This window comes from Homo sapiens, chromosome 16, assembly GCF_000001405.40.
Source record: "Homo sapiens chromosome 16, GRCh38.p14 Primary Assembly".
In the NCBI taxonomy this organism is placed as follows: Eukaryota; Metazoa; Chordata; class Mammalia; order Primates; family Hominidae; genus Homo; species Homo sapiens.
In genome coordinates, this window is record NC_000016.10 from 393,235 (window position 1) to 401,755 (window position 8,521).

The window sequence follows — 8,521 nt, forward strand, 5'->3', positions numbered from 1 at the left end:
TCCCACAGTGCTAAGAGTACAGGTGTGAACCATCCCATCACGCCTGGCCAAGAGAGTTATTTATTTATTTATTTATTGAGACAGAGTCTTGCTCTGTCTACCAGCCTGCAGTGCCATAACACAATCTCAGCTCACAGCAACCTCCGCCTCCCAGGGTCAAGCAATTCTCCTGCCTCAGCCTCCCAAGTAGCTCGGATTACAGGCACCTGCCACCAGGCCCGGCTAATTTTATATTTTTAGTAGAGACAGGGTTTCTCCATGTTGGTCAGGCTGGTCTCAAACTCCCAACCTCAGGTGATCCACCCGCCTCAGCCTCCCAAAGTGCTGCGATGACAGGCATGAGCCACCTCGTCCGGCCCAGCATAATTTTTTTTTTCTTTTTTTAAGATGGAGTCTTGTTCTGTCACCCAGGCTGGAGTGCAAGGGCACGATCTCAGCTCACTGCAACCTCTGCCTCCCGGGTTCAAGGGATTCTCCTGCCTCAGCCTCCCGAGTAGCTGGGATTACAGGTGCATGCCACCACACCCAGCTAATTTTTTGTATTTTTAGTATAGACAGGGTTTCGCCATGTCGGCCAGTCTGGTCTCGAACTCCTGACCTCAGGCGATACACCCACCGCAGCTTCCTAAAGTGCTGGGATGACAGGCGCGAGCCACTGCGCCCAGTCTCAGCATGTTTTTAATGTGCAAAATAAAATACAAGGAAATAAAAATATAAAAAACTATACTGAAATAAATTATCAAAATATTGTAGGCCAGGCCGGGCGCAGTGGCTCACACCTGTAATCCCAGCACTTTAGGAAGCTGCGGTGGGTGTATCGCCTGAGGTCAGGAGTTCGAGACCAGACTGGCCAACATGGCGAAACCCTGTCTATACTAAGAATACAAAAAATTAGCTGGGTGTGGTGGCGAGCACCTGTAATCCCAGCTACTCGGGAGGCTGAGGCAGGAGAATTGCTTGAACCCAGGAGGTGGGGGTTGCAGTGAGCTGAGATCATGCCCTTGCACTCCAGCCTGGGCAACAGAGTAAGACGATGTCTCACCAACAAACAAACAAAATATTTTAGGCAGCGGGGCGTGGTGGCTCACACCCGTAATCCCATCACTTTGGGAGGCCAAGGCGGGTTGATCACAAGGTCAAGAGATCGAGACCATCCTGGCCAACATGGTGAAACCCCATCTCTACTAAAAAACAAAAATTAGCCGGGTGTGGTGGCGCGTGCCTGTAATCTCAGCTACTCAGGAGGCTGAGGCAGGAGAATCGCTTGAATTGGGAGGCGGAGGTTGCAGTGAGCCAGGATTACACCACTGCACTCCAGCCTGGCAACAGAGTGAGACTCCATCTCAAAAACAAAAACAAAAACAAAAACAAAATATTTTAGGCCAAGTGCGGTGGCTCAGGCCTGTTTTCCTAGTTACTGGGGAGGCTGAGGCAGGAGGATCGCTTGAGGCTGGGAGGTGAAGGCTGCAGTTGAGCTATGACTGCACCACTGCACTCCAGCCCAGGTGACAGAACGAGACCCTGTTGCTAAAAAAACAAAAATAAAACATTAAAAAATGTACGATATAGTGGCCGGGCGCGGTGGCTCATGCCTGTAATCCCAGCACTTTGGGAGGCTGAGGCGGGCAGATCACAAGGTCAGGAGATCGAGACCATCCTGGCTAACATGGTGAAACCCCGTCTCTACTAAAAATACAAAAAAAAAAAAAAATTAGCCAGGCGTGGTGGCAGGCGCCTATAGTCCCAGCTGGAGGCTGAGGCAGGAGGATGGCGTGAACCCGGGAGGCGGAGCTTGCAGTGAGCCGAGATCGCGCCACTGCACTCCAACCTGGGTGACAGAGTGAGACTTCGTCTCAAAAAAAAAACAGAGTACGCTATAGTAATATCTGCTTTTTCCTTTTTGCAATAGCTTTATTGGGATACAATTGACATACTATACACTTCACTCATATATTTTTTGTTTATTTACTATTTTTTTTCAAGAGACAGGGTCTTGCTATATTGCCCTGGCTAGTCTCAAACTCCTGGGCTTATGTGATCCTCCTGCCTCAGCTTCCCAAATTGTTGGGATAATAGGCCTGAGCAAGAGTCCAGCCTCTAAAAAGAAAGAAAGTCACTTCTTTATACCATAGTACTGCAAATTCTAGTCAGAGCAACTAGACAAGAAAATAAAATAAAAGGCATTCAGATTGGAAAGAAAGAACTGAAACCGTCTCTATTCCCATATGACATGATGTTTTTTCTTTTCTTTTTTTTTTTTTTTTTGAGACAGAGTCTTGCTCTGTTGCCCAGGCTGGAGTGCAGTGGCATGCTCTCGGCTCATTGTGAGCTCCACCTCCTGGGTTCAAGCCATTCTCCTGCCTCAGCCTCCTGAGTAGCTGGGATTACAGGCATGCACCACCATGTCCAGCTAATTTTTGTATTTTTAGTAGAGACGGGGTTTCACCACGTTGACCAGGCTGGTCTTGAACTCCTGACCTCGTGATCCGCTCGCCTCGGGCTCCCAAAGTGCTGGGATTACAGACATGAGCCAGTGTGCCCCGCTCCATATGACACAATCTTATACAAAGAAATTCCCAAGGAATTAATTAAAAACTATTAGAACTAATAAATGCATTTGGAAGGCTTGCAGGATACAAGATCAATACACAAAGCTCAATTGTTGGCCAGGCGTGGTGGCTCACGCCTGTAATCCCAGCCCTTTGGGAGGCCAAGGCGGGTGGATCACCTGAGGCCACGAGTTTGAGACCAGCCTGGCCAACATGGCGAAACCCCGTCTCTACTAAAAATAAAAAAAAACACCAGCCAGGTGTGGTGGCAAGCTCCTGTAATTCCATCTACTCGGGAGCCTGAGGCAGGATAACTGCTTGAACCTGGGAGGCGGAGGCTGCAGTGAGCAGAGATATGCCATTATTGCACTCCAGCCTGGGCAACAAGAGCGACACTCTGTCTGAAAACAAACAAACCTCAATTGTCTGTTATACACTTGCAATGGACAATTCAAATAAGAAAACAATTCCATTCACAATAGCAGCAAAAAGAACAGGCTTTTTCAAGACTCATTAAGTAAGTTCTAGCAGTGGGAGACCTAACCATTTCAAATAGTAGCATGCTGTGCTATCTACCCAAATATTACCGTACCTGTGAATTCTGTTGGTGACAAAGTCACAGGCCCTGCAACTATGAATGTGGCTTCTTCCTTATATCCGCAATTGAATGAATTAGAGGAATGCAGTCACATCAGAGGCCATTTGAGAATAAAGGTCGGATTTTTCCCCATTCAAATTCACAGACCAGGCTCACATCTGTAATCCCAGCACCTTGGGAAGCCAAGGCAGGAGGATTTCTTGATCCCAGGAGTTTGAGACCAGCATGGGCAACATAGGGAGGCCCCATCTCTACAAAAAATTAAAATATTAGCTGGTTGTGGTGGCGCGGGTCTGTAGTCCCGCCTACTCGTCCTGGCCGCAGAGTCAGCGTCTCCGGAGCGCCTCCTTCTCCCGCCCTGGGGCTCACGTGGGAATTTCACCCTCCATTGGAGGGGGCTCAGACCAGGGCTTCTAGACCTCCTTTTGGTCCGTGAATTTATTTTTGAGACAGAGTCTTGCTCTATTGCTCAGGCTGGAGTGCAGCGGTGCAGTCACAGCTCACTGCAGCCTCAATCTCCTGGGCTCACGCGATCCTCCTGCCTCAGCCTCCCGAGTGGGCCTTCCTCCGTGGGAAAGCGTTAAAACGATAGTTAACGGTTGCGTCGGTGTAAAGACGAATGCAATTCGAGAAGGATTCATTATTATTTTGTTTTTTCTTCTGATTTTTAACAGAAATTGGCGTTGAACATTTCCCCCGTGAGCGCCGGGCCACGGGGGTCCGGGGCGGCGGGGGGCTCCGGGGCGGCGGGGGGCTCCCGGGCGGGCGGGGGCGGGTCTCGGGCTGGCACCGCCCTCCGCGCCCGCTCCTCGCGCTCACAGCGGCCCGCGGGCCGGGCGTCATGGGCGGCCTCTTCTGGCGCTCCGCGCTGCGGGGGCTGCGCTGCGGCCCGCGGGCCCCGGGCCCGAGCCTGCTAGTGCGCCACGGCTCGGGTGAGTGGGGCCGCGCGCCCCGGCGGGGACGCGGAGGGGAGGAAGGGGCGCGCGCCGCTCGGCCTTTGTGCGCGCACGTGCGGGCTGGGGTCCGACTCCCCCAGAGGCCTCGGGGCGCGGGCTGCGGGGTCCGTCCGAGTTGGGGAAGGCGCCGGCTCGCACCCGCACGCCCCTCCAGTGCCCGTCCGGCTCTGCGGCTCCTTCTCGCCTCCCCAGGCCCCAGGCTGCAGGCGCCCGGCGAGTTGGCAGCCTGGGCGGGTCCGGGGCGACCGAGGGCCCGGGAGCGCAAGGAAGGCAGAGGCCGGCTGCAGCACTGGGCGGGGAGGGGGTCTCCCGGCCGGGGTGGGGGTGGGGGTGTGGGGGGGTGAGGGAGTCGGGGGGTGGGGGTGGGGGTGTGGGGGGGTGAGGGAGTCGGGGGGTGGGGGTGGGGGGAGCCGCTCCGCTGGGGCGTTCGCTGAAGGCCAAGTTAGGCCAGAATCTGACTGGGACGTCAGGCCCCAAGTCCCCGGCCCCGCCGCTGCCCGGCCCCCCCAGCTGCCACCTCACAGGACGATCCATGTCCCAGGGCTCCCTCCATCGGCTCTGAAAAGTGAGCCGCCGCCTGCAATGCCCGCACCAGCCGCAGCAGAGCCCCAGGCTACACAAGGCGCCCTGCAAACTGGGTTTTGGGGGAACAAACCAACCAGGGGGTCTTCCTCCCGTGGGCTTCAGCCGCCTGCTGGGGTTAACTTTTCCTCCTGGCCTGGCGGAGCCCCTTTGGCTCTGTCCAGATTCTGTGGGACATACAGGGTCTGGGCTCCTCTGGAAACCAGGGACCCGATGCCGGAGGGTAGCTTGGCTCTGGAGCAGCCTGGGACTATAGGAAGGTGAGGACGTCTTCTGTTTCCCTGGCAGCGTCCCCTCCAGAGGAGGACGGCTGGGGCGGAGCTCAGCGCTGACCCTGGGTCTGGAAGCGACAGGCCTTGAAACTCCACAGCAGCACAGGCCCCGTCTCCTGGCTCGGACAGAACCCTGCTACCTTCCCTCTTCAATCTTCAGGCCCCTTTTTGTCCGTGTTTCCAGGGCTCACCTGGTGGGGAAAGTGTGTTTCTCCCTGGTTCCCTGCCACTCATTCACCTCAGACACAGGGTGGGCTCTGGGTTCTTCCTCATGTGGAAAGTCGGGGCTTCAGACCATGTCTGTCGTCATCCAGAAGGGATGGAGTCAAAAGTGAGGCTGGAGTTTTGCAGGATCTCCAGACTTCCCTGAGGCCACTGAGCTGGGCTGTGCCTCTGTGGACCTCAGGGTGGTCGCTGAGCTGGGCTGTCCCTCCCTGGACCTTGAGGTGGTCCCTGAGCTGGCTCTGCCTCTATGGACCTTGCGGTGGTGGTCCCTGAGCTGGGCAGTGCCTCCCTGAACCTCGGGGCGATCTCAGGCAGCCTCTGCCTCTGCTGGGAGGAGCCATGGCCCCTGGGAGAGGCTAGAAGCCCTGGGGACACATTGCCTTGGGTGTCCCTGACAGGGACTATCATGGGGGTGTTTGTGGCTGTGGGCACCATCCCTGTCCCTTCCAGAGTGCCCTGCATAGAGGCAGACACCCTGAAGCCTGGTGACCCCTGGGCTCTGGCTGGGAAACCCGGGTCGTGGGGACGTGAAAGGGTGAGGTGGCAGTGCCTCTGACCTCTTGCCTTTTGAAGGAGGGCCCTCCTGGACCCGGGAGCGGACCCTGGTGGCGGTGAAGCCCGATGGCGTGCAACGGCGGCTCGTTGGGGACGTGATCCAGCGCTTTGAGAGGCGGGGCTTCACGCTGGTGGGGATGAAGATGCTGCAGGTAGTGGGACTCTGGGCTTGTGGGTGTCCCTGTGGGGATGGGGTTGGGGGATCCTTCTCGGCCTTTCACATCCCAGCCAGCGCCGGGGCAGGGCCTGGCTTTGGCAGTTGAAGGGGCAGGAGGGATCTATTCTGCGGTGGGGGTGCTGCCCATGCTGGTGTTATCTGCAAGGTGCCTGAGGTCAGGGCATCACAGCTGCTGTGCTAGTGCCCACGTTTACTGTCTGCGGCTCCTCCTTACCTCAATGCCACCCAGGCACCAGAGAGCGTCCTTGCCGAGCACTACCAGGACCTGCGGAGGAAGCCCTTCTACCCTGCCCTCATCCGCTACATGAGCTCTGGGCCTGTGGTGGCCATGGTACGGCAGGGCAGGGGTGGTGGAAGGGCCTGTGGGTAAAGGGCGTGTGGGTGTGTCTTTCCCCCCAGCAAAGGGAGGGGCCCTGGATTGAGCCCAGGGGCCCTTGGTGTTCCCCACTTCTCCCCAACCATTATCTCTCGCTGCAGGTCTGGGAAGGGTACAATGTCGTCCGCGCCTCGAGGGCCATGATTGGACACACCGACTCGGCTGAGGCTGCCCCAGGAACCATAAGGGGTGACTTCAGCGTCCACATCAGCAGGTACGGGGGTCCTGATACACCAGGCTGCTGCTGGGGGCAAGGAGGGCCATCACTTGGGGTGGTGGCAGATCCACGAGACCTGGCTGTCTTGCTGTGCTAGGATGAAGCCAGGTCGGACATGACAGCTCACACTGGTGAGAGCCGTGTTCTCCCAGGGCACACAGGGCAATGAGGTGTTCCCTTTGTGTTGTGTGTACCGTGCCATCGTTGCCTGTTACCTGACACCCCAAGGGGTTGGCACGGGGCAACTTGGGGGGAAATGAGGCTCCCAAAAGCTGGGGCCTGGGCGGGTCCACGAGGCTGTAAGAGGCCGAGGCCAGGCTGGAACCCGGTTTCCCAGCTCCACTGTTACTCCTTCCCTGTCTGCAGTCACAGGCTTGCTCCCCTAGACAGAGGGCAACGGGAGCAGCAGATGGTCCCTGGGATTCCTCAGGGTGCACATGAAGCCTGAGCCTCACATTGCTCCTGTCCTGGCACAGGAATGTCATCCACGCCAGCGACTCCGTGGAGGGGGCCCAGCGGGAGATCCAGCTGTGGTTCCAGAGCAGTGAGCTGGTGAGCTGGGCAGACGGGGGCCAGCACAGCAGCATCCACCCAGCCTGAGGCTCAAGCTGCCCTTACCACCCCATCCCCCACGCAGGACCAACTACCTCCGTCAGCAAGAACCCAAGCCCACATCCAAACCTGCCTGTCCCAAACCACTTACTTCCCTGTTCACCTCTGCCCCACCCCAGCCCAGAGGAGTTTGAGCCACCAACTTCAGTGCCTTTCTGTACCCCAAGCCAGCACAAGATTGGACCAATCCTTTTTGCACCAAAGTGCCGGACAACCTTTGTGGTGGGGGGGGGTCTTCACATTATCATAACCTCTCCTCTAAAGGGGAGGCATTAAAATTCACTGTGCCCAGCACATGGGTGGTACACTAATTATGACTTCCCCCAGCTCTGAGGTAGAAATGACGCCTTTATGCAAGTTGTAAGGAGTTGAACAGTAAAGAGGAAGTTTTGCACACCCAGTTCCATAACGTTGTTGGATGTATGAGCCAGGCAGGGGTCCAGAGACCACCAGCCTGCAATCCGGAGAACCCAAGCTAGGCGCGAGCCGGTGCTGTGATCCCGCCAAAGGAGAAGCTGCCTTCCCGGGGAAGGGGCAGAGAGGGGCCGGCGGGCTGAGGCCAACCAGCGCAGAAAGGGCCTGGCAGCCATTACTGTAGCGCTGGCGGCTCTGTCACGCCCCTGAAGCCGCTGGCCCGCGGGTGTGTTCAGCTCAGGAGCGGCCCTGCGTGTTTTTCCCCCGTGGCCGTCGCGGACCCCCGTCTTCCAACAGTGGTGCGGGCGGGGCGCCCCGTCCTGGGTTCGCGGCATAGCCCCGCCCGGGCCCCCACGCGGAACAGAAGTAACGGACCCTTTTTTTTTTGTTTTTGTTTTTGAAACGGAGTGTCGCTCTGTCGCCCAGGATAGAGTGCAGTGGCGCGATCTCGGCTCACTGCAACCTCCGCCTCCCGGGTTCAAGCGATTCTCCTGCCTCAGCCTCCCGAGTAGATGGAACTACAGGCACCCGCCACAATGCCCGGCTAATTTTTGTATTTTTAGTAAAGAGGGGGTTTCGCCATGTTGTCCAGGATGGTCTCGAACTCCTGACCTCGTGATCCGCCCGCCTCGGCCTCCCAAAGTGTTGGGATTACAGGCGTGAGCCACCGCGCCCGGCCCCGGACCCTTCTTTATTGGCCTCAAAACGGGTCATTTTGGGAAGCGGCGCGGGGCTGGCCGCGCTTCCCTGGGCCCCGGCCCTCCCCATGGTGTTTACGGGGAGGCGAACGGGGAGCCCAGAGGCTGCGAGCCTGGCCTGGACCCAGGAGCCAGGGGTATCCCACAAGTCCTGGAGGCTCTGAACGCGGCGCTGACGCCGAATACCTGTGAAAAAGACTCGGGGAGGAGACCCGCAGACCGCCGAGCTTCTGCCGCGGGAACCGCGCCCCCGGCCCCGCAATGCGCCTGCGCCTCGCGCGCCGACTTC

The 8,521-nt window shown here is 57.5% G+C and overlaps 1 protein-coding gene across 7 annotated transcripts, besides 7 other annotated features; it reads left to right on the forward strand.

Annotated features, from left to right (window-relative positions):
* Nucleotides 3,495–7,520, forward strand: NME4 (NME/NM23 nucleoside diphosphate kinase 4). 7 transcript variants are annotated; one of them, NM_001286439.2, is made up of 6 exons: nt 3,965–4,079; nt 4,974–5,160; nt 5,756–5,889; nt 6,145–6,246; nt 6,393–6,505; nt 6,985–7,520. In NM_001286439.2, the coding sequence occupies exons 3-6, from the start codon at nt 5,875–5,877 to the stop codon at nt 7,106–7,108; spliced, it is 354 nt and encodes a 117-aa protein (NP_001273368.1). In that variant the 5' UTR covers nt 3,965–4,079; nt 4,974–5,160; nt 5,756–5,874; the 3' UTR covers nt 7,109–7,520. The 7 variants fall into 7 exon arrangements, with proteins under 7 accessions (NP_001273365.1, NP_001273368.1, NP_001273367.1 ...); NM_001286438.2 differs by having other exon boundaries at nt 4,974–5,151; NM_001286436.2 differs by lacking the exons at nt 3,965–4,079; nt 4,974–5,160 and adding an exon at nt 3,495–3,845.
* Nucleotides 3,556–3,605: an enhancer, noted in NCBI's record as "active region_10204". NCBI's record gives its function as "activates an Ori minimal core promoter by ATAC-STARR-seq in GM12878 lymphoblastoid cells {active_cell/tissue: GM12878}" and the evidence as "EXISTENCE:reporter gene assay evidence [ECO:0000049][PMID:35858748]".
* Nucleotides 3,896–4,385: a silencer, noted in NCBI's record as "silent region_6917". NCBI's record gives its function as "represses an Ori minimal core promoter by ATAC-STARR-seq in GM12878 lymphoblastoid cells {active_cell/tissue: GM12878}" and the evidence as "EXISTENCE:reporter gene assay evidence [ECO:0000049][PMID:35858748]".
* Nucleotides 4,526–4,595: a silencer, noted in NCBI's record as "silent region_6918". NCBI's record gives its function as "represses an Ori minimal core promoter by ATAC-STARR-seq in GM12878 lymphoblastoid cells {active_cell/tissue: GM12878}" and the evidence as "EXISTENCE:reporter gene assay evidence [ECO:0000049][PMID:35858748]".
* Nucleotides 5,875–6,460: an enhancer, noted in NCBI's record as "H3K4me1 hESC enhancer chr16:449109-449694 (GRCh37/hg19 assembly coordinates)". NCBI's record gives its function as "activates a minimal SCP1, AML or CMV promoter by ChIP-STARR-seq in naive H9 embryonic stem cells {active_cell/tissue: H9 hESC(naive)}" and the evidence as "EXISTENCE:reporter gene assay evidence [ECO:0000049][PMID:30033119]".
* Nucleotides 7,474–7,783: an enhancer, noted in NCBI's record as "active region_10205". NCBI's record gives its function as "activates an Ori minimal core promoter by ATAC-STARR-seq in GM12878 lymphoblastoid cells {active_cell/tissue: GM12878}" and the evidence as "EXISTENCE:reporter gene assay evidence [ECO:0000049][PMID:35858748]".
* Nucleotides 7,474–8,216: a biological region, named in NCBI's record as "H3K27ac-H3K4me1 hESC enhancer GRCh37_chr16:450865-451450".
* Nucleotides 7,631–8,216: an enhancer, noted in NCBI's record as "H3K27ac-H3K4me1 hESC enhancer chr16:450865-451450 (GRCh37/hg19 assembly coordinates)". NCBI's record gives its function as "activates a minimal SCP1, AML or CMV promoter by ChIP-STARR-seq in primed H9 embryonic stem cells {active_cell/tissue: H9 hESC(primed)}" and the evidence as "EXISTENCE:reporter gene assay evidence [ECO:0000049][PMID:30033119]".

Coding starts and splice junctions, on each gene's coding strand:
- NME4 (NM_005009.3), top strand. CDS start 3,989: ATGGGCGGCCTCTTCTGGCGCTCCGCGCTGCGGGGGCTGCGCTGCGGC. Junction 6,247..6,392: donor CTGGGCCTGTGGTGGCCATG/GTACGGCAGGGC, acceptor CTCTCGCTGCAG/GTCTGGGAAGGGTACAATGT. Junction 6,506..6,984: donor TTCAGCGTCCACATCAGCAG/GTACGGGGGTCC, acceptor GTCCTGGCACAG/GAATGTCATCCACGCCAGCG.